This window comes from Homo sapiens, chromosome 11, assembly GCF_000001405.40.
Source record: "Homo sapiens chromosome 11, GRCh38.p14 Primary Assembly".
NCBI classification, from domain to species: Eukaryota; Metazoa; Chordata; class Mammalia; order Primates; family Hominidae; genus Homo; species Homo sapiens.
The window spans coordinates 21,784,341-21,809,489 of NC_000011.10; the positions used below are offsets into that span (position 1 = coordinate 21,784,341).

General features: G+C 35.8%; 1 long non-coding RNA gene across 4 annotated transcripts in view, besides 1 other annotated feature; it reads left to right on the forward strand.

Annotated features, from left to right (window-relative positions):
• The window catches only part of LOC102723370 (uncharacterized), a 366,694-nt gene that overhangs the window by 31,135 nt on the left and 310,410 nt on the right, over positions 1–25,149 (forward strand). For 3 of the 4 annotated variants that reach the window (XR_007062619.1, XR_931110.3, XR_007062621.1), the window contains exon 2: positions 10,437–10,564. This is a non-coding gene — a long non-coding RNA (uncharacterized LOC102723370). Of the gene's footprint in view, positions 1–10,436; positions 10,565–16,420; positions 16,889–25,149 lie in introns of those variants that run through there. The other variant, XR_931109.3, reaches the window with a different exon arrangement.
• Positions 15,156–15,325: an enhancer, noted in NCBI's record as "experimental_20562 CRE fragment used in MPRA reporter constructs". NCBI's record gives its function as "activates a minimal promoter by MPRAs in K562 erythroleukemia cells, with activity observed for the non-introgressed 11:21821127 variant allele {active_cell/tissue: K562}" and the evidence as "EXISTENCE:reporter gene assay evidence [ECO:0000049][PMID:34662402]".

Genomic DNA, 25,149 nt, shown 5'->3' on the forward strand with positions numbered 1-25,149 from the left:
AGATAGCAAGATCCATCTGTATAAAAAAAAAGAAAAGAAAAGAAAATTAGCTGGGCATGGTGGTGTGTGCCTGTAGTCCTAGCTACGATGGAGGCTGAGGCAAGAGGATAGCTTAAGCCCAAGAGTTCAAGAGTTCAAGTTTAAGAGTTCAAGTTCACTGTACTTGAACTCTTGAACTCTTGGCCTTAACCTATCCTCTTGCCTCAGTGATCATGCCACTGCACTCCACCTTGGGTGACAGAGTGAGACACTGTTTCTGGAAAAAAAAAAATCAAATCCATTATATTTTAATAAAAATATTCTATGAATAATAGCTCTACTTTCTAAATAAAAATAATTGATAAAAAGATATAATTTTTAAACACCATCTAAATTTATATCATTTTGAGAGGTTATTTGTCTATCTTCTAAGTTTTTAAAAAACTAACAGATACAATTGTATGAATTTATATGTAACACTAGATGTTTTGTAGTATATATACATTGTGAAATGACTAAATGTAGCTGTTATAATTAACATTTGTATTGCCTCACATAGTTATCATTTTTGTGATAAAAAAACTTAGTATCCACTCGACATTTTTTAATTTTTAGTTTTTAATTTTTATGGGTACATAGTAGTTGTACATGAGATGTTTTGATGCAGGCATGCAATACATAATAATCACATTATGGACAATGAGGTATTCATCCCCTCAAGCATTTATCCTTTATGCTACAAATAATTCAACTTTACACTTTTAGTTATTTTAAAATGTACAATTAAATTATTATTGACTCTAATCATTCCATTCTCCTATCAAATAGTGGACTTTATCACTCTTTCTAATTTTTTGTTGTACCCATAACCATTTCCACCTTTCACCCCACATGGACTACCCTTCCAAACCTCTGTTAACCATCCTTCTACTCTTTATTTCCATAAATTCAGCTGTTTTGATTTTTAGATTCCACAAATAAGTGAGAACATGCAATAGTTGTCTTTCTGTGCCTGGTCTATTTCAGTTGACAGAATGATCTTTAGTTCCATCTATGTTGCAAATGACAGGATCTCGTTTGTCTTTATGGTTGAATAGTACTCCTTTGTGTACATGTACCACACTTTCTTTATTCATTCATCTGTTGGATGGACTTTAGGTTGTTTCCAAATATTGGCCATCATCAACAGTGCTGCAACAAACGTGGGAGTACAGATATATCTTCTATATACTGATTTCCTTTCTTTTGAGCGTATACACAGCAGTAGGATTGCTGGATCATGTGGTAGCTCTATATTTAGTTTTTTGAAGAACTTCCTAACAGTTCTTTGTAGCTTGTACTAATTTACATTTCCAGCAACAGTGTACAAGGGTTCCCTTTTCTCCACATCCTCAGCAGCATTTTTTATGGTCTGGCTTTTGGATAGAAGCCATTTTAACTAGGGGGAGGTGATAGCTCATTGTAGTTTTGATTTGCATTTATCTGAAGATCAGTGATGTTGAGCACCTTTTCGTATTCCTGTTTGCCATTTGTATGTCTTCTTTTGAGAAATGTCTAATCAAATATTTTACCTATTTTTAATTGGATTTTTTTTTCATTTAGAGTTGTTTGAGCTCCTTGTGTATTCTGGTTATTAATACCTTGTCAGATGGGTAGATTGCAAATATTTTCTTCCATTTTGTGGGTTGTCTCTTCACTTTGTGTATTATACCCTCTTCTGTGCAGAAGCTTTTTAACTTGATGTGATTCCATTTGTCCACTTTTGTTTGGTTGCCTGTGCTTGTAGAGTATTACTTAAAAAATGCTTGTCCAGACCAATGTCCTAGAGAGTCTCCCAAAGTTTTATTATAGTAGTTTTATAGTTTGAGGTCTTAAATTTAAGTCATTAATCTATTTTGATTTTATTGTTGTATATGGTGAGAGATAGACATCTAGTTTCATTTTTCTGCATACGGATCTCCAGTTTTCCCAATGCCATTTGTTACAGAGACTGCCTTTTTTTCCAGTGTATAAACTTGGCACCTTTGTCAAAAATGAGTTCACTGTAGGTGTGTTGATTTGTTTCTTGGTTCTCTATTCTGTTCCATTGGTCTATGTGTCTGTTTTTATGCCAGTACCATTCTGTTTTAGTCACTATATCTCTGAGGTGTAACTTGAAGTCAGGTAATGTGATTTCTCCAGTTTTGTTCTTTTTGCCTAGGATAGCTTTGGCTATTCTGGGTCATTTGTGGTTCTATATGAATTTTATGGCTTTTTTTTCTATTTCTGTGAGAACTATCATCAGTATTTTGGTAGAGATTGCACTGAATCTGTAGATTTCTTTGGGTAGTATGAACATTTTAACAATAATGATTCTTCCAATCCATGAACATTGAGTATCTTTTTTATTTTTGGTGTCCTCTTCAACTTATTTCATTAACGTTTTATGGTGTAATTATAGAGATATTTTACTTCTTTGGTCAATTTAATTCCTAAGTATCAAATTTTATTGACGGCTATTGTAAATGGGATTACTTTTTAAAAATTTCTTTTTCAGATTGTTAAATGTTAACATTTAGAAATGCTATGGATTTTTGTATATTCGTTTTGTATCTTGAAACTTTACTGAATTTGTTTGTCAGTTCAAATAGCTTTTTTAGGTGGAGTCTCTAGGTTTTTCCAAATATGAAATCATATTATCTGTAAACTAGGCTAATTTGACTTCTTCATTCCAGTTTGGAAGCCCTTTACTTCTTTCTCTTGTCTGATTGCTCCGAGCATCCTTGTGGTGTTCCAGACCTTAGAGGAACATTTTTAGTTTTTCCCCATTGAGTATATTAACAGACATGGTGTCTCAACGCTTGTAATCCCAGCACTTTGGGAGGCTGAGGCAGGCGGATCACAAGGTCAGGAATTTGAGACCAGCCTGACCAACATGGTGAAACCCCATCTGTACTAAAAATACAAACATTAACCAGGCGTGCTGGTACACACCTGTAATCCCAGCTACTCAGGAGGCTGAGACAGGAGAATCGCTTGAACTCGGGAAACAGAGGTTGCAGTGAGCTGAGACCACACCACTGCACTCCAGCCTGGGCAACAGAGTGAGAATCTGTCTCAAAAACAAAGCAAAACAGTGGGTCCACTGTATATGGCTTTTAGTATGTTGAGGTATGTTACTTCCATACCCAGTTTTTTGAGGGTTTTCATCATGAAGGGATGCTGAATTTTATCAAATGATTTTTCAACATTAGTTGAGATGATCCTATAGATTTTGTTCTTCATTCTGTTCAGTATGATGTATCACATTGATTTAACTACAAATGTTGACTTGCATCCCAAGGATAAATTCCACTTGGTCAGAATGAATGATCTTTTGTCATGTCGTTGAATTTGGTTTGCTAATATTTTCTTGAGGATTTTTGCATTGATGTTCATGAGAGATATTAGCCTATAGTTTTCTTTTTTTGGTGGGTGTTTGTCTGGTTTTGACATCAAGGTAGTACTGACCTCATAGAATGAGTGTGAAAGTTCGCCCTTCTCCTCTATTTTTTGAAATAGCTTCAGTGGGATTGGTATTAATTCTTTAAATGTTTAGTAGAATTTAGCAGTAAAGCCATTGGATTCTGGGCTTTTCTTCACTTTGGGACTTTTTATTATGGCTTCTATCTTGCCACTTGTTATTGGTCTGTTCAGGTTTTTAATTTCTTCATGGATCAATCTTGGTAGATAGTATGTGTCTTGGCATTTGTTTATTTCTCCTAGATTTTTCAGTTTATTGGGCATGTGGTTTCTCATAGTAGTCACTAACAATCCTTTGAATTTCTGCAGTATCAGTTGTAATGGCTCCTTTTTCATCTCTGATTTTCTTTGTTTGGGTTTTATGTCTTTCTTTTTAGTTAATGTTGCTAAAGTTTTGTCAATTTCGTTTAACTTTTCAAAAAACTGAGTTTTTGTTTCCTTTATCTTTTGTATTGTTTCCTTCATTTCAATTTTATTTATTTCTGTTCTGATCTTGATTATTTATTTTCTACCAGTAATTTGGAGTTTGGTTCACTCTCGCTTTTCTCATTCTTTAAGATGTATCGTTAGATTGTTTATTGTTTTTCTTCTTTTTTGATGTAGGCACTTGTATCCATAAACTTCCCTCTTAGTACTACACTTGCTGTATCCCACAGGTTTTGGTATGTTGTGTATCATGTGATTTGTTCCAAGAAATTTTTCAATTTCCTTCTTAATTTCTGCATTGACCCAGTGGTCATTCAAGAGCATATGGTTTAATTTCCATATATTTGTATCACTGGTCATTCAGGAGCATATCGTTTAATTTCCATGTATTTGTATCATTTCCAAATTTCTTCTTGTTATATTGATTAATAGCTTTATTCTGTTGTGGTCAGAGAAGATGTTTAATATTATTTCAATTTTTGAATATTTTAAGACTTTCTTTGTGACCTAACATATGGTCTATTTTTGATAATAATCGACACGTTGAGGAGAAGAATGTGTATTGTGTAGCCATTGAATAAAATGTTCTATAAATATCTATCATATCAATTTGGTCTATAGTGCATATTAAGTCAAATGTTTGTTGATTTTCTGTCTGAAAGATCTATCCAATGCTGAATATGAGATGCTGAAGTCTTCAGCTATTATTGTACTAAGGTCTGATATGGTTTGACTCTGTCCTCAACCAAATCTCATGTTGAATTTTAATCCCCAGTGTTGGGTTAGGGACCTGGTGGGAGGTGATTGGATCATGGGGACAGATTTTACCTTTGATGTTCTTGTGATAGTGAGTGAGTTCTTATGAGATCTGATTGTTTGAAAGTATGCAGCACTTCCCTCATCACTCTCTCTCTCTTCTGCCACCATGTGAAAACGTACCTGCTTCCCCTTCACCTTCTGCCATGATTGTAATTTTCCTGAGGCCTTCCCAGCCATGCCTCCTGTACAGCCTGTGAAACGGTGGATCAATTAAAACTTTTTTCTTCATAAATTACCCAATATCAGGTAGTTATTCACAGCAGTGTAAGAATGGACTAATACAGGGTGCATCTCTCTTTTTAACTCTAATAATATTCGCTTTATATGTCAGAGTGTTCCACTGTTGGGGCATATATATTTAAAATTGTATCCTCTTGCTGAATTGACCCCTTTATCATAATATAGTGACCTTCTTTGTCTCATCTTATGGTTTTTGTCTTGATATCTATATTGTCTGATGTAAGTATAGCTGCTTTTGCTCTTTTTTGGTTTCCATTGGCATAGAATATCTTTTTCCATCCCTTTATTTTTATTCTATATGTGTCTCTATCGGTTAAGGATGTTTCCTGTAGGGAACAGATTAATAGGTCTTTCTTTTTCTTCAGTAAGCCATTCTATGTCTTTTGATTGGAGAATTTAGTCCATTTACATTCAATATAATTATTGATAAGTAAGAACTTACTCCTTCCAATTTTTTGTTTTCTGGTTGCTTTGTAGTCCTTTCTTTCTGTCTCTTCCCTTACTTTTCTCCTTGCTCTCTCGCTTCCTTGCTTTCTTTCCTATCTTCCTTTTAGTGAAGGTGTTTTCCTCTGGTGATATGATTTATTTTCTTGCTTTTTTTGTGTGTATCTGTTATGTTTTGAGGTTACCATGAGGGTTGCAAATACTATCGTATAACCCATTATTTTAAGCCAATAACAACTTACAACTGTTTCCATAAACAAAAAAGCGGAAAGAAAACTAATAAAGACTCTCTGCCTTAACTTTATCTTCTACTTTTAAACTTGCTGTTGTTTTTGTTTATATCTTCCTATATTGTCTATGTCTTAAAAAGTTGTCGTAGTTATTATTTTTGATTGCTTTATCTTTTAGTCTTTCTACTTATGATAAGAGTAATCTACATACCACGGTCAAAGTGTCACAGTATTCTGTGATTTCATGTGTACTTACCACCTGTGTGTTTGAAGGATATTTTTGCTGGATACATTATTGTAGGATAAAAGTATTTTTTCCTCAGCACTTTAAATATGTAATGCCACTCTCACCTGGCCTTTAAGGTTTCCACTGAAAAGTTTGTTGCCAGACATATTAGAGGTCTTTGTATGTAATTTGTGTTTTTTCTCTTACTGCATTTGGGATCCTTTGTTTGTTCTTGATCTCTGAGAGTTTGATTACTACATGCCTTGAGGTAGTTTTCATTGTGTTAAATCTACTTTATGTTTTATAATTGTCTTGCACTTGCACTATAAGATTGCTGATATCTTTCCTTAGGTTTGGGAAGTTCTATGTTATTATCCCTCTGAGTAATCTTTCTACCCTTGTTTCTTTCTCTACCTCCTCTTTAAGACCAATAAGTCTTAGATTTGCCCCTTTAAAGCTATTTTCTAAATCCTGCAGATGTGCTTTTTATTTTATTCTTCTTTCTTTAGTCACCTTTGACTGTGTGTTTGCAAATAGCCTGTCTTCATGCTTACCAATCTGTTCTTCTCCTTTATCAATTCTGCTATTAAAAGATTCTGATGCATTCTTTCCAGGATGTCAATTGCGTTTTTCTTTTATTATTATTATTATTATTATTATTATTATTATTATTATTATTACACTTTAAGTTCTATGGTACATATGCACAATGTGCAGGTTTCTTACATAGGTATACGTGTGCCATGTTGGTTTGCTGCACCCATCAACTTGTCATTTACATTAGTTATTTCTCCTAATGGTATCCCTCCCCCAGCTCCCCACCCCCTGGCAGGCCCCAGTGTGTGATGTTCCCTGCCCTGTGTCCAAGTGTTCTCATTGTTCAGTTCCCACCTAAGAGTGAGAACATGTGGTGTTTGGTTTTCTGTCCTTGCGATAGTTTGCTGAGAATGATGGTTTCCAGCTTCATCCATGTCCCTACAAAGGACATGAACTCGTCCTTTTTATGGCTGCATAGTACTCCATGGTGTATATGTACCACATTTTCTTAATCCAGTCTATCATTGATGGACACTTGGGATGGTTCCAAGTCTTTGCTATTGTGAATAGTACCACAATAAACATATGTGTGCATGTGTCTTTATAGCAGCATGATTTATAATCCTGTGGGTATATACCCAGTAATGGGATGGCTGGGTCAAATGGTGTTTCTAGTTCTAGATCCTTAGGAATTGCCACACTGTCTTCCACAATGGTTGAACTAATTTACACTCTCACCAGCAGTGTAAAAGCATTCCTATTTCTCCACATCCTCTCCAGCATCTGTTGTTTCCTGATTTTTTAATGATCACCATTCTAACTGGCATGAGATGGTATCTCATTGTGGTTTTGGTTTGCATTTCTCTGATGACCAGTGATGATGAGCATTTTTTCATGTGTCTGTTGGATGCATAAATGTCTTCTTTTGAGAAGTGTCTGTTCATATCCTTTGCCCACTTTTTGATGGGGTTGTTTGTTTTATTCTTGTAAATTTGTTTAAGTTCTTTGTAGATTCTGGATATTAGTCCTTCGCAGATGGGTAGATTGCAAAAATTTTCTCCCATTCTGTAGGTTGCCTGTTCACTCTGATGGTAGTTTCTTTTGCTGTGCAGAAGCTCTTTAGTTTAATTAGATTCCATTTGTCTATTTTGGCTTTTGTTGCCATTGCTTTTGGTGGTTTAGTCATGAAGCCCTTGTCCATGCCTATGTCCTGAATGATATTGCCTAGGTTTTCTTCTGGGGTTTTTAAGGTTTTGGTCTAACATTTAAGTCATTAATTCATCTTGAATTAATTTTTGTATAAGTTGTAAGGAAGGGATCCAGTTTCAGCTTTCTACATATGGCTAGCCAGTTTTCCCAGCACCACTTATTAAATAGGGAATCCTTTCCCAATTCCTTGTATTTGTCAGGTTTGTCAAATATCAGATGGTTGCAGATGTATGGTGTTATTTCTGAGGCCTCTGTTCTGTTCCATTGGTCTATACATCTGTTTCAGTACCAGTAACATGCTCTTTGGATTACTGTAGCCTGTAGTATAGTTTGAAGTCAGGTAGCGTGATGCCTCCAGCTTTGTTCTTTTTGCTTAGGATTGGCTTGGCAATATGGGCTCCTTTTTGGTTCCATATGAACTTTAAGGTAGTTTTTTCCAATTCTGTGAAGAAAGTCATTGGTAGCTTGATGGGGATGGCCTTGAATCTATAAATTACCGTGGGCAGTATGGCCATTTTCACGATATTGATTCTTCCTATCCATGAGCATGGAATATTCTTCCATTTGTTTGTGTCCTCTTTTATTTTGTTAAGCAGTGGTTTGTAGTTCTCCTTGAAGAGGTCCTTCACATCCCTTGTAAGTTGGTTTCCTAGGTATTTTATTCTCTTTGTAGCAATTGTGAATGGGAGTTCACTCATGATTTGGCTCTGTTTGTCTGTTATTGGTGTATTGTCTGTTTTTGGTGTATAGGAATGCTTGTGTTTTTTGCACGTTGTTTATATCCTGAGACTTTGCTGAAGTTGCTTATCAGCTTAAGGAAATTTGGGGCTGAGACGATGTGGTTTACTAAATATACAATCATGTCATCTGCAAACAGGGACAATTTGACTTCCTCTTTTCCTAATTGAATACCCTTTATTTCTTTCTCTTGCCTGAATGCCCTGGCCAGAACTTCCAACACTGTTGAATAGGAGTGGTGAGAGAGGGCATCCTTGTCTTGTGCCGGTTTTCAAAGAAAATGCTTCCAGTTTTTGCCCATTCAGTATGATATTGGCTGTGGGTTTGTCATAAATAGCTCTTATTATTTTGAGACATGTTCCATCAATACCTAATTTATTGAGAGTTTTTAGTATGAAGAGAGGTGTTGAATTTTGTCAAAGGCCTTTTCTGCATCTATTGAGATAATCATGTGGTTTATGTGATTAATTACGTTTATTGATTTGCGTATGTTGAACCAGCCTTGCATCCCAGGGATGAAGCCAACTTGATAGTGATGGATAAGCTTTTTGATGTGCTGCTGGATTTGGTTTGCCAGTATTTTATTGAGGATTTTCACATCGATCTTCATCAGAGATATTGGTCTAAAATTGTCTTTTTTTGTTGTCTCTGCCAGACTTTGGTATCAGGATGATGGTGGACTCATAGAATGAGTTAGGGAGGATTCCCTCTTTTTCTATTCATTGGAATAATTTCAGAAGGAATGGTACCAGCTCCTCTTTGTACCTCTGGTAGAATTTGGCTGTGAATCCGTCTGGTCCTGGATATTTTTTGGTTGGTAGGCTATTAATTATTCCTCAATTTCAGAGCCTGTTATTGGTCTATTCAGAGATTCACCTTCTTCCTGGTTTAGTCTTGGGAGGGTGTGTGTGTCCAGGAATTTATCCGTTTCTTCTAGATTCTCTAGTTTATTTGTGTAGAGTTGTTTATCGTATTCTCTGATGGTAGTTAGTATTTCTGTGGCATCATTGTGATATCCCCTTTATCATTTTTTATTGTGTCTATTTGATTCTTCTGTCTTTTCTTCTTTATTAGTCTTGCTAGCAGTCTATCCATTTTGTTGATCTTTTCATAAAATCATCTCCTGAATTCATTGATTTTTTAAGGGTTTTTTGTGTCTCTGTCTTCTTCAGTTCTGCCCTGATCTTAATTATTTCTTGCCTTCTGCTAGCTTTTGAGTTTGTTTGCTCTTGCTTCTCTAGTTCTTTTAATTGTGATGTTAGGGTGTCAATTTTAGATCTTGCCTGCTTTCTCTTGTGGGCATTTAGTGCTATAAATTTCCCTCTACACACTGCTTTAAATGTAGCCTCCACAGCTGGGAATGTGCTGAGTCTCGTCTAAAGCCAACAAGTCTCAGTGTCTCACCCAAGGCACTCAAGAATGCACCTGAGTGTTGCTGTGGGTTATTCAGGACCCAAGGACTTTTCAGTTAGCAAGTGATGACTACTGCCAGAACTGGGTCCTTCTCTTCAAGGCAGCACATTCCTTGCTGGCCCATCATGTGTCTACAATATTCATGAGCTAGGGCCTGGAAAGGAGAATGCGCAACTCTGCCTCATGCTCTATTATGTTGTGGCTGAGCTAGTATCCAACATGCAAGACAAAGTCCTCTCCTCTCTTCCATCTACTTTTCTCAAGTGAAAGGAAGGGATCCTTTTTGGAGCCATGAATTGTGCACCCTGAGTTAGGGTAGGGGCGGTGCTAGCACTCCCTTAGCTGCTCCAGGTAGTATCTCAGTAGTTCACCTGTTCCCCCAATTCCACTGGCTCTGGGCCAAATTCATCACCATGACTCACCAGAAGTTGCAGTCTTTGTGTCCTAGAGTGTCTTTTAAGTTTATTGTGGCCCTAGAGCACTTTAGCCAGAGGTAGCGGGACTTTTAGGATCTCAAATTGTGACCACTGGGATCAGAGATACCCCTCTGACTTGGGCAGATGGGTTTAAATACTCCTACTGTGGGCAAATGTTAGCTGAGTTTTGTCTGTTTTCCCTACAGGGCAGCACTGAGTTCAATGCCTCACAGTTTTTGCCTCTTCCTCTCCCCAAAGCACAGAAACTCTCTCTGTACCACGTACCTGCTGCCAGAAGCTGGGAAGGAGTGGTGCTGGTGATTCAAAACTGATTTTCCTGCCTCTTCGATGCCTCTTTTAGTGACATACAGTTAAGACCAGGCACTGTGAGTACTCAGCTGATTTTTGGTCTTTATGAAGGTGCTTTGTTATGTGTGTAGATAGTTGTTAAATTGGTGTCCTTGCTGGGGGAAGATCAGTGTAGCCTTTTTTCCGGCCATCTTGTTCCACCCTTTGGTCTACTCTTTTGGCATTTTTTAAGAATACAGTACATTGTTTTTAACCATAGTCATCATATTGCACAATAGATCTCTTGAACTTATTGTTCCTAATTAACTGAAATTTTGTATACTTTACCAACATCACCCCATCCCCTTCCCCCAGCTCTTAGTAAGCCCCATCTACTCTCTACCTATATTGGATCAGCTTTTTTAGATTCCACATAAGTGTGAGATCATCCAGTATTTGTCTTTCTGTACCTGACATATTTCCCAACAAATAATGTCCTTTAGGTTCCACATGTTATCACATATGGGGGGAATTCCTTCTCTTTTAGCAGAATAATATTTTATTGTACATACATGCTACATTTTCTTTATTCATTCATCCATTGATAGCTACTTAAGTTGATTTCATATACTGAGTACTGTGATTAATGCTGCAGTAAAAATGGTAATGCAGATCTCTTTTTAAAATAATGATTCATTTCCTTTGGATTCAAATATAGTAGTGAGATCACAGATTCACATTATTGTTCTATTTTTAATTTGGTGAGGAGTCTCCATACTGTTTTCCGTAATAGCTGTACTAATTTGCATTTCCACCAAAAGTGTGAAGAATTACTTTTTTTCCACATCCTTGTCTACACTTACTCTCTTTTGTTATTTTTTAAGCATGAAAGCCCTCCTAACAGGTGTGATGTAATATTCTACAGGTTTAATTTTAATTTTGCTGATAATTAGTTATGTTGAGCACCTTTTGCTACAGTTAGTGGCCATTTGTGTTTTCTTTGGAGAAGAGTTCATTAATTTTATTCATTCCATTTGCTCATTTTAAAAACTGAATTATTTCCTTTTTTGTCTCCTGTACTGTGAGAGTCCCTGATGTTGGATATTAACCCTTTATCAGATCAATGGTTTAAAAAGATTTCATTCCATTTCATAGGTTGTCTTTTCACTCTGTTGATTTTTTTTTTCTTTTTTTTTTGTGCGGGAGCTTTCTATTTGATGTAGTCCCACTTGTCTATTTTTGTATTTATTGCCATTGCTTTTGGTATCATATCCAAAAGATTATTGCCAGGCCAATGCCACAGACTTTTTCCCCTATTTTTTCCTTGTAGTAGTTTTATACTTTCAGGTTTTACATTTAATTTTATGATCCATTTTTAGTTGATTTTTGTATATGGTGTGAGATTATGTCTGTTTTTATTCTTCTACATCTAGATATACAGTTTTTCCAACTCCATTTATTGAAAAGACTCTTCTTTCTCCATTTTGTAATCCTGGCACCTTTGTTTCAAACCAGTTGGCTATAAATTTATGGATTTATTCCTGGGCTATCCCTTCTGTTTTCTTGGTCTGTGTTTCAGTTTTGAAGCCAGTATTTGATGATATTCTGGTTATGATAGCTTTGTAGTATATTTTGAAGTCAGGTAGTGTGATGCATCCAGATTATTCTTTTTGCTCAAGATTACTTTACCTATTCAAGGTCTTTGTGGTTCCATAAGAATTTTAGAATGTATTTTTATATTTCTGTGAAGAATGTCATTGGCAATTTGATGTAATTGCATTAAATCTGTAGATCACTTTGTGTAATATGGAAATTTTAACAATACTAGTTTTTTTTCAATTTCTGAACATGAAATGTCTTCTCATTCGTGTCTTCAATTTCTTTCATCATAGTTTTATAGTTTTCAAGATAAATATTTTTCACCTTCTCAGTTAAATTTATTCCTAGTTTTTTTGTAGCTATTGTTAAGGAGATAGTTTTCTTGAATTAGTTTTCAGATAGTTTGCTGTTAGTGTATTAAAACACTGCTGATTTTTTGTGTGTTGATATTGTAGCCTATAACTTTACTGGATTCTTTATTAGTTCTAACAGGTTTTTCTGGTGTGTGTGTGTGGAGTCCCCAGGATTTTCTATATATAAGATCACATCATCAGTAAACAGAAACAATTCTACCTCTTTTTTTTTTCTATTAGAATGTCTCTTATTTCTTTCTCTTGATTAATTGCTCTGGGTAGAACTTTCAGTATTATGTTGAAAAGAATTGGTAAGAGTGGGTATCCTTATATCATTTCTGACCTTAAGGAAAAGCTTTCAACTTTTGAGTGTTGAGAATTTTCACTATGGATTTGTTATATATGGCCTTTATTGTGTTTAGTAACATTTCCTCTGTACCTAATCTGTTGAGAGTTTTATTGTGGAAGAATGCTGAATTTTGTCGAATGATTTTTCTGTATTTACTGAAATGATGATATGGGTTTTGTAGTTCATTATGTTAATGTGATGTATTGTATTTATTATTTTGTATATTTTGAACCACCCTTGCATTCTTGGAATGGATTCCACTTGATCACTGTGAATGATATTTTTAATGTGTTGTTAAATTTGGTTTGCTAGTATTTAGTTGAAAAATTTTGCACTGATGTTCATCAGGGTGTTGTCTTATAGTTTTCCTTATTTATAGTATCCTTTTCTGGCTTTCACATTAGGGTGAGACTGGTCTTATAAAATGCCTTTGGAAGTATTCTCTCTCCTTCAATTTTTTTTGAAATAATTTGAAAATAATTAGCAAAAGTTTTTTTTTTTTTTAAATGTTTGGTAGAATTCAGCAGTAACGCCATCAGGTTCTGGGCTTTTTTTTAATGAGATATATTTTATTACCATTTCAATGTACTTATTCATTATTGTTCTGTGCAGACTTTCTATTTCATCATAATTTAATCTTGGTAGGTTGTATATGTCAATAAATATATCAGTTTCTTCTGGATTATCTGTATTGTTGCTATATACTTTTTTGTAATAGTCTTTTAAGATCCTCTGTATTTTTGTTGTATAAGTTGTAATGTATTCTTGATAATTTCTGATTTTTTATGTCTTCTCTCCTTTCCTTATTTAGTCTAGCTTTCAGTTTGTTGATTTTATCTTTTTATAAAAACAACTCTCTGTATTTCCATTGCTATTATAATCTCTATTTTATTAATTTCTGTTCTAATTTTTATGATTTCCTTCCTTCCATTAAGTTTGGGCTTAGCTTATTCTTGTTCTTTCTAGTTCCTTGAGGTGCAACATTAGGTTGTTTATTTGAGATGTTTCATTTTTTTGGATGTGTTTATTGCTATAAAGTTCCTTTTTAGAAGATTCGTATGTTTCCATTTTCATTTGCCTCAAGAGTTTTTTAACTTCCCTTTTAATCTCTTTATTGAGTCAGTGGTTGTTCAGTAGTTTACTGTTCATTTTCCATGTATTTGTCAAATTTCTAAAGTGTCTTTTGTTATTATTTCTAGTTTGATACCATTGTGGTCAGAAAAGATACTTGATAAAATTTCAGCCTCATTAAATTTGTTAAGACTTGCTTTGTGGCCTAACGTCTGATCTCTCCTGGAGAATGTTCCATGAAGAATTGAGAAGAATGTGTAATCTGCAGCTGCTAGATGGAATGTTAGGTCCATTCAGTCTCGAGTGTAGTTTGTTTGATGTTTCTTTGCTGATGTTCTCTCTGGATGGTATATCCATTAATGAAAATGGGTTTTTGAAGTCCTCTACTATTATCTCTTCCTTCAGTTCTATTAACATTTGCTTTATATTTGTAGTTGCTCCAATGTAGGCTTATCTCATTTAGAAAATGCCAACATGCTTTCATTGGCCTACAAAGCCCACACAACCTAGTTTTATGCTGACTCTCTGGACTTATTCTTTCCTAGATTTTCCCTTATTCACTCTGCTCTATCCACATGGGATTTCTTTCTGGTCCTTGAATGCCATATTGCATGCTCAGGAGTCTGAACATATTTTATAAGCAATGTGAAACAAAATTTTTGCTTCACATCATTTCTTCAAGCAGGGCAATCCTTGTTTTCTTGGAGTCTGCTCAATCCTGAGAAGTTGAGGCAACATCTAAAATTTGACATAGTGGTTCCAATAATTTAAAACTTTATATTTCCTTCAAAGAACATTTTTATCATTCAGTGGATTTCAGTATCAGTTAGAGTCACTGAGCTGAGTTTTGGGTAGTTAAAGTTACAATGAGATAATTTTATTGAATACTGTACACCAAAAATATAAAAGTGTTTGAAGAGTAGTACAGAGAATGAAGGCTGCAGGAATTAACTTAAAAAACAAGTGAATATGTGCTAGACAGGTCAGAAAAGGTTTCGGGGAAAGATAATATTTTTAGTCATGTCTCGAAGAGTAAGCAGCAGCTGGATAAGTGAAAATAATCAGAGGGATAGTTCAAGATGCAGGATTCCTGAAGAGGGCAAAAAGACAAGGTTTAAGAGCAGAGCATCAAGAGGATCAAATTGGCTATAAAAATGAGCTTACATTAGAAAGTAAAGTGCATGAGATATTTATTCTCGGGTTTTCTAAATTTAACGAGCTTAATCCTTCTACAATCTGAAGGGTTGGTAAATTCTAATCTACAAGATTCCATGAGAATATTGTGTTGATTTGTGTGTATTTACAGCATCTTAGCTTGATTATATTTTTTATAGTAGAATATATTTATCTTCAAGATATGCAAATATTGGATTTCGATGGTATTTTTTTTTTCTCCTTAAGTGACAAAACATTCACAGTCACGTTGCTTAGTTTAAAAATCAAGCAAGTCTTTAAGTAGTACTTTTCCTTCAAGGTATCTGATTTGATTTGAAGCATAAATCAAATCGTATCTGATTATTATTTGATTTGTGGGCAGTCCATTGTAGGATAAGGAGCCAGCCAGCAGAGAAATACATGCAAAGCTCAGCTTCTTCCTTAATGCCATCAAAATATTCACTTTCCTCCAATTCATTCTTCCTGGCGACGAAAAAAAAAAAAAAAGGAACAAGCATGCTCATTATGTCAGTGACCCAGTTTCAGTATCTTTCTTCTCCATTTCTTTGCACTATTCCAAATCCTGTTTCCATAGTCGGTCTTTTCGCATTTTTCATTTGGAATGACCGCCTTTTGTGCTTCTGAGATGTTGCAAGTGAGTACAAATCAAGGAGAAAATAGGTTATCCAGGCACAAGTTTTATTTATGCTTTGACTCTAGTGTCATTGTCTTCATTGTTTTACGTGCATAGTTGTATTTTCCAAAAGATAAAATGTCACTATCTCAGGTTTTTATTAGTATACTGAAATTGATTTCAAGAAGCAAACTTGGCACAATTATTTAATTTTAGGCAACTTTTGTTAAAAAAAAAGAATGGTTTTACTTCAGAGCCATTTAAATTATATAGATTTACTTTTTTATTTAAGCATGGAAACAGAAGTTCACTATCAAACTTAGAGACAAAAGTTGGCTTTTATAAATTTTGAGATTAAAATTTAATTCTCTAGCCAAGGACAGTATCAATTAGTAGAGAAAAATTCTACCTAATAGAATATAGTTTAAATTACTTAACTGTGTAATTTCTAATTTCCTATTCCCAGATATTATTGGGTTCCTTTTTTTTAAATTATACTTTAAGTTTTAGGGTACATCACACACCGGGGCCTATTGTGTTCCTTTATAACTGTAGCAGGCAGTTACAAAAATTAACATTTGAAGATAATTGGTTATTTTTAGTATATTTGAAAAATGATCCTGCATATTACCTGATTTTTAAGTAAAAATATTTATGTTCATATTTTTGTCTGTTAATTGCTTCAAAAATTTATATCTTTATTGTCATTCAAAATCCATTTTACTCAGTTTTCATGAAGCCGTTCTTTTTTCAAAGTATTACTGAGATTTTGAAATTTGATGTTTTATTTTAGGCTAGATTATCTCCTAACTTTAAAACTTTGGATGAATAATTATAAAGCAGCAAATTGGTGTTGCAAAGAGAAGACATGAAAAGCAGAGTTTAGTAGATATTTTCTATGATTCACTCTTGAGAGAGATAACAGAAACTGAAGTGAAGTATCCTTGATCTTGGAACTCCATTCCTCCCCTGCTGAGTGAGAGGAGTCTCAGACTGTGGAAAATAAATGGCTGACAGAACAAGATCATAGAGTTTTCCTATATTCTGTAAGTTACTGACAAAAAGCAGGTTGAGTTAAAACTAAGTCCATGTAACCCAGCATGTTGAGAAAGATCTTTGAGAAAGAGTCCTCAGATTGTTCTTCAGCTTTGAGAGACTGAATGGATCAGACAAGGATAACCAAAACCTAGACCTTGTTGCTTTAGAGGAGTCAGGAATCAGCAAAATAATTTTGAAACATAATAAACATACTTTTTATTGCTTTGTCTTTGTCATTGGTAAAAAGGCACTCAGTTATAAAACTCTATGGTAAGCCATCTCTCCAAGCTAACACAAAAGCACAAACAACAGTCAATATCTCTTTGAAAATGATTTTAAGCTAGTTGTTGAAATATTTAATAATTGCATGGATAACATACTAAAAAGGGGGAAGACATTTAATTCTGAAAATCAGGTTCTCTCTCAACAAAAAGATTTCTGAAGGAGAGAGGGAGAGAGAGAGAGTCTGAAAATGTAGGGGTACCAAAAATTCAGTATTCCAATATACTGGTCAGCCATTTTCTGTTTCCATTTTGAAGAAATGTTTAATTTTTTTTGCTAATTTTTTCTTTTGACATCCATAGTTACATGCTCAGTCACAGAGCTTTTTATAGAAAAATGTATGATGTAAAGGCACAGGAGGCATGACTGTATTTCTTATCTGTGCTAATATAGCCAAGATGGTCTCAGCTGAGCATTTAGCGGGAAATTGGCTTGGAGTCTACTGAGACGTTCCTCTACTACTCAGGTGATATTTATAAAAATTTATAAGAATTTGGGGATGGTAGTTTGGAAGATTTTTAGTGATGGCAACTCCAGGCTTTTTCTTGTTGTTGCTTTGTTGTTGTTGTTGTTGTTGTAGAGAGAGCAGGGGCAGGGGTGGTAATTTGGTATACAGATACCAGGGAGAGATAAGAAACCACTGTGGTCCTGACACAAGCAAAGTTAAAAGGAAACACTAGGGCATCTGGCAGCTTTGCAGAGGGAAAGCAGTAATTTTAATAAAGGCATCAGTAGAACTGGCAGCACTGATAAAGAGCTCCAATCTAAGGGTTTGTGGGACTAGCCCTTGATGAGATGGCCAAAGTAGAAAAATATGAAATAATATGAAAATATTTTCTTACATAGTACACCACAAAATAATTGTAATGCACAGGCTGGTGAGATTTAGGGAAAATTAAGTTACACGATAACTAGCCATGTAGTCTTGGAAGTGACATTTTATCCATGTCAATTTCAATTACCTTCTTAAAAATTAGGTTGCCTAGGATCAAGAAATAGCAAATATATGGCTTGTCTGATATCTCTCTCCTGTCCTGGATTATTTATGGACACAGTTAATGGATCCCAGCACTCTCTCATGCAAACCTTTGGTTTGGTTTCAGAAATATGTATACAGCCATGCACATCATAATGACATTTTGGTCAATGATGGACTGCATATATGGTGGCTTTGTAGGTTATAATATATTTTTACTGTACCTTTTCTATGTTTAGATAGACAAATACTTACCATTGTGTTACAATTGCCTACAGTATTCAGTACACTAACATTGTACAGGTTTGTAACCTAAAAGCAATAGGGTCTACCATATAGCCTAGGTGTGTAATAGGCTATTCCATCTAGGTTTATGTAAGTACACTCTTATGATATTCATACAATGACAAAATTTCTTAATGACACATTTCTTGGAGCATATCCCCATCGTTAAGTGAAGCATTACTGTATATTTAATCTCTACATTTGAACTGTGCAAAAACAACCAATTAATCCAGGCTAACATGCAAGGATTATTTGTATACTAGAGGATCTCTGTATTAGTTCATTTTCATGCTTAAAAGACATCCCCAAAACTGGGAAAAAAATGTTTAATTGGACTTACAGTTCCACATGGCCACATGAGGCTTCAGAATCATGGCAGGAGGCAAAAGCCTCCTCTTACATGGTGGCATCAAGAAAAAATGAAGAAGAAGCAAAAGCAGAAAACCCTGATAAACCCATCATATCTCATGAGACTTATTCACTATTATGAGTGATAGTAATAGGAAAGACCAGCCCCCATGATTCAATTCCCTTCCCTTGGGTCACTCCCACAACACGTGGGAATTCTGGGAGATACAATTCAAGTTGAGATTTGGGTGGAGACACAGCCAAACCATATCATTCCACCCCTGGCCCCTTCAAATTTCATGGCCTCACATTTCAAGACCAATCATGCCTTCCCAACAGTCCCACAAAATCATAATTCATTTCAGCATTAACCGAAAGTTTACAGTCGAAAGTCTCATCTGAGACCAAGCAAGTTCCTTCTGCCTATGAACCTGTAAAATTAAAAGCAAGCTAGTTACTTCCTAGATACAATGGGGGTACAGGTATTGGATAAATACAACCATTCCAAATGGGAGAAATTGTCCAAAACAGAGGAGTTACAGGGCCCAGGCAAGTCCAAAATCCAGCGAGGCAGTCAAATTTTAAAACTCCAAAAATGATCTCTTTTGAGTCCAGGTCTCACATTCAGGTCATGCTGATGCAAAAGGTGGGTTCCCATGGTCTTGGGCAGCTCTGCCCCTGTGGCTTTGCAGGGTACAGTTTCCTCTAGGCTGCTTTCTTGGACTGGCACTAAGTGTCTGCGGCTTTTCCAGGCACATGGTGCAAGCTGTCAGTGGATCTACAATTCTGGCGTCTAGAAGACAGTGGCCCTCTTCCTACAGCTTCACAAGGTAGTGCGCCAGTTGGGACTCTTTGTGGGGGCACCAACCTCACATTTTCCTTCTGTACTGCCCTAGCAGAGGTTCTCCATGAGGGCCCCACTCCTGCAGCAAACTTTTGGCTGGGCATCCAGGCATTTCCATACATCTTCTGAAATCTAGGTGGAAGTTCCCAAACCTTAATTCTTGACTTCTGTGCACTCACAGGCTCAACACCACGTGGAAACTGCCAAGTCTTGGGGATTCCAACCTCTGAAGCCACAGCCCAAGCTGTATGTTGGCCTCTTTCAGCCACAGCTGGAGCAGCTGGGACACAGAACACCAAGTCCCTAGGCTGCACGCAGCATGGAGACCCTGGGCTAGACCCAGGAAACCAGGTTTTTCTCCTGATCCTCCAAGCCTATGATGGGAGGGGCAGCCATGAAGGTCTCTGACATGGCCTGGAGAAATTTTCTCCATTGTCTTGGGGATTAACATTAGGCTCCTTGCTACTTATGCAAAATTTCTGCAGCCAGCTTGAATTTCCCCCTAGAAAATGGGTTTTTCTTTTTTTATCACATAGTCAGGTGGCAAATTTTCCAAACTTTTATGCTCTGCCACCCTTATAAAAGTGAATGCATTTAATAGTGCCCAAGTCACCTCTTGAATGCTTTCCTGCTTAGAAATTTCTTCTGCCAGATACCCTAAATCATCTCTCTCAAGTTCAAAGTTCCACAAATCTCTAGGGTAGGGGCAAAATGCCACCACTCTCTTCGCTAAAACATAAGAAGAGAGAGTCACCTTTGCTCCAGTTCCGCAACAAGTTCCTCATCTCCATCTAAGACCACCTTGGCCTGGATTTTATTGCCCATATCACTGTTAGGATTTTGGACAATGCCATTCAACAAGTCTCTAGGAAGTTCCAAACTTTCCCACATTTTCCTGTATTCTTCTGAGCCCTTCAACTGTTCCAATCTCTGCCTGTTACCCAATTCCAAAGTTGCTTTCACATTTTTTGGGTATCTTTTCAGCAACACCCCACTCCTGGTACCAATTTACTGTATTAGTTTGTTTTCACACTGCTGATAAAAACATACCCAAAACTGGAAATAAAACAAGGTTTAATTGGACTTGCAGTTCCACGTGGCTGTGGAGGCCTCAGAATCATGGCAGGAGGTGAAAGCCTCTCTGACATGGTAGCAGCAAGAGGAAATGAGGAAGAAGCATAAGCAGAAACCCCTGATAAACCTGTCAGATCTCATGAGACTTATTTACTATTATGAGAATAGCACAAGAAAGAATAGCCCCCTTGGTTCAATTACCTATCCTTGGGTCCCTCCCTGAACACATGGGAATTTTGGGAGATACAATTCAAGTTGAGATTTGGGTGGAGACACAGCCAAACCATATCAGTCTCCAAAATAATACTTTTCAGCTTTAAAGCTCTATTGTTTTACCCTTGTTACTTAAGTCACATGTTATAAAAATAGCCTAGATTCTCTTTGAATGACTAGATGGGGATATATGAAGATTAATTATATACTGTTGCTGAAACCCAATAAAACAAAGCAAACATACATCAAGAAAAGAAAGTACTAATATGCTTCTTAATAAATCCTCCCATTCACTCAAATAATAACTACTATTCATTGAAGTCTTACTATATATATATATATATATATATATATATATATATATATAAAAATAAATAAAATGTGCTAATTTATGAACAATATGTAATTTATAATCTTTAACTACAAGATGAAACATCATTATTATTTACACTTGACAATCAATTTAAAAGAGGTTTAGGGGTGGATGCTGTGGCTATAAATTCTAAAAATTCTAACACTTTGGGAGGCTAAGGCAGGAGGATCACTTGAGTCTAGGAGTTCGAGACCAGCCTGGGCAACATAGTGAAAACCCCTGCTCTAAAGCAAACAAAAAAGTATAGCCTGGCATGGTGGAGCACACCTGTGGTCCCAGCAACTCAGGAGTTTAATCACATGAGCCCAGGAGATCAAGGCTGCAGTGAGCTGTGATCGCATCACTGCTGCTGCCCTCCAGCCTGGGCAAAGCAAGACTCTGTCTCAAAAAGAAATAAATATAAAAAATAAAAATAAAAAGAGTTTTAGAAATGGTAAGATGCTTGGCTAAGTTTACATGCATAATAAATTGTGTGTCTGGTCTTCACATTTAGAATTCACTAAAAGTGGTTGAGACCTTTAGAATTTGTCTATAATTTTCACATATGAAAAAAATCTTTAAATAGAAAACACGTAGTGCATATGGCTAGAATCTTATCAAGCTTTGTAAATATTGAGAAACACTTTTCTCTGTAATGATTAAATCTAAAATAGGACTTTATTAACTTTAAAACATTCTCAAGCTGTCATGAAGCAAAAATAACAACAAAGAAAACTGTTTGTATCTGTTCCCTCCCCTGGCTCAGCCACACTAGCAACTCAGAAAGTCAGCCAATTGTCAAAGGTACTCAGGTAATATACAACCTGAGTTCTCTGTATTTACCAGTGCTAGGTGACTACGGTGGCTTATCAGTTATCCAGCAAATTCACCTAGAACATAGGAAAATAAAGGAATCTCTGCAAAATATTTTTGATAAGTAATACAGGTGTCCTCACTTCATTCATCCACTAAAATTTTCACCTATAATGAACTTCCTCTCAGTTTTACTGCCAGTAGAATTGGCAACAGTGACATAGAGCTCTCTCAAAGAATTGAGTATAAATGAAAATAAATGTGAATGGCTTAGGCTGAGGAAGCCTTAGAAAGATTCAGAGTGTCACAACCTTCAACAAGGCATAGGAGTAGCAAAACAACAACAACAAAAAGTATTTATGGTACCCACCCAGAAATGATGGAGAGAGCCCCCTGAAGGAGCCTTGAAATAATTTGTCAGATACAAAAGAATGTCAGGAGGAACAGGTGTGATCCAATGCCCAAGAATACAAAGAAATCTTAGACTACCACGGATCTTAACAGGTGTCAATGTGGTAAGGACATCAAAGGCTGGTGGTTTCTATCATCTAAACACTTTTGAATGATATGTCAGCCCTGTCCTACATCCAGAATGTAGATATTGCCCTGAAGTAAAATTATTTCTCTCACCTTATATGAAATAAATAATTTTGCCATATATTAAATTAAATTGTATCACACATGCAGAAAAACCTTAGTTTCTTTGCATCATTTTATAAAATGAAATTTTTATCCATTGCATAAAAAGGATAAAAAACACACATATAAACAACCATAAATAAAAGGTATAGGGCAAAGAGAGTTTGATGGGTGTACTAGTCTGTTCTCATGAAGCTATGAAGAAATACCCCAGATTGGGAAATTTATAAAGGAAGGAAATTTAATTGACTCAGAGTTCCACATGGCTGGGGAGGCCCCAGGAAACTTACAATCTTGGTGGAAGGCACCACTTCACGGGGCAACAGGGGAGAGAATGAGTGCTGAGTGAAGGGGGAAGCCCCTTATAAAACCACTAGCTCTTGTGAGAACTCACTCATTATTTCAAGAACATCATGGGGAAAACTGTCCCTGTGATTCAGTTATCTCCACCTAGTCCCACCCTTGACATGTGGGGATTATTACAATTCAAGGTGAGATTTTGGTGGGGACACAGAGCTAAACTATATCAATGGGTGTACAAATAAAGTTCTAAATATGGAACTGAGAATAGGAGAGAACTTTCTTATAGTTTGAAAAATAGGTTTGAATTATGGAAAATGTATGTCAAGGAAAGTTATTTTTGCTAGGGTGGCACCCATTGCTCCTCTTTCTGCTAACAGCACCTTTAATTTCCTTTGTCACCACTGAGTTTCAGCATATGTTGAAACCTCTCTCATGCCACAGGAGTGAATATTTAACCCAGGCCTGATAAAACAGGATGTTTTTTCTGTAAAAATGAATATATAATACAAACAGCATAAAACTTTTGAAGTACACAGTTCATTGGTCTTCGGCCTAGATACATAGTTGTGCTACTATCATCAATATCTAATTTTCAGAAGAATGTTATTGCCCGCAAAAGAAACTTTGTACCTATTAGCAGTCATTCCTCATTCCTAATCACCATCAGCCTTTGGCAATCACTAATTGACTGTCCATCTCTTTGTATTTTCCTGTCTGGACATTTCATACAAATGGAATCATACAATATGTACCCTTTTATGTCTATCTTCTTTTACTTGGTATACTTTTTCCAATGTTTATTCATGTTGCACTATGTGTCAGTACTTCATTTATTTTTATGGCTAAATAATGTACCACATTTTGTTCATCTGCTTACCATTTGGCAGACTTTTGAGTTGTTTCTACCTTTGGGCCCCAAAGGTGGAAACATTCATGTACAAGTTTTTGTAGTAATATATAATTTCAATTATCTGGTGTACATACTATGAATGGAATCACTGTGTTATGTGCTAACCCTGTGTTTACCTTTATGTTTAACATGTAAAATAATAAAAACTATCTGGAGGGCCTTGAAGTAGATTTAACCTCATCCTTTTCTTTCCAGTGGCTTCCAGGCTGCTGGGTTTCTCCATGATTGTAGGTGGTTGGATTTCTATGTTGCTGTGGAGCTCAGATGAGAAGAATTAAAATAGCGATAGTTAAAACCCCCCAAATCTCACTGTTCTTATCAACATTGAGAATTTTCCTTGAATAAACACTCCCTAGATATCTGCAAACTTTTGGTTAATCATCAGAGTTCTGAAAAAGACTGAAAATTTCTGCCAGTGTTCTCATGGATTTTTGAAGATGAGATGTTTGGAGGTTGTTACTCTGACATTTATTACTGATATCACTTTCTCCCTAGTTTTTGCAATGATCAGTTCTTGCAGGCAAATGACTTAAGCTAGTCCTAAGAAAATGATTTTACTTTTGTACATGCAGAAGACTTGGGGTATGCATATAGTAGTTATTTAAGGTGCATTGTCAATATTCTCTAGCCCTTCTGATTTTACTGTATGTCTGGCAACTTCCAGTTACAGATGTTTGCATATGGTTGCCTCTGAAAGACTTTCTCTAAAGTAATATATGTCTGCTCTAACCTCAGGTACATCAGTCTGAATATGCTTGCTATAAACAATAATCGATGGTAGTTGGAGTACAAATATTCAATCTTCCTGGTTTAAGGTGGTACAAATTTGGGATATCTGTTGCACCAAATCACCCTACAAAGTCAAGCTTTAGTTGCCCACATTGATAGTTGATGTTATAATGTACATTATTGGCTTCTTAAAAAAATTTTCCCTGTCTTACATTCCACTGGCATTTCCTGTACCTCTAAAGTAAAGTACTTGGACTTGAATTTTTGTCTCAAAGTCTGCTTCTGTAACTCAGACTTAGGGAGGATTTCAGTCTGGAACCAAATGCAAACATGTTCTACAATAAGCATTCTTCCCTGAGAAGAAGCCATTTGGAGATAAGATTTGGGAGATCGGAGCTGAATTCTGGTGACAACATTTATACCCTTTAGAAACCCTGACTCTATGTTTTTCTGTGGTCATTCAGTTACATGAGAAAAAAAAAAGCCATTTTTTCTTTTAAGTAAGTTTCAGTTGGGGTTTCTATTGCTTGCCTCTGAAAAAATTCTGAATAATAAAATACAACATTGCTGACTATAGACAAAAAACAAACAAACAAACAAACAAACAAAAAACAAACAAAAAAACCCCAGCATGATAACAGTCTTCAATAAAGAAAGCAGTGTGAAACCCAGTAAAGTAATATACAGCACTTTGGCAGAGACCCAGTGGTCTCTTA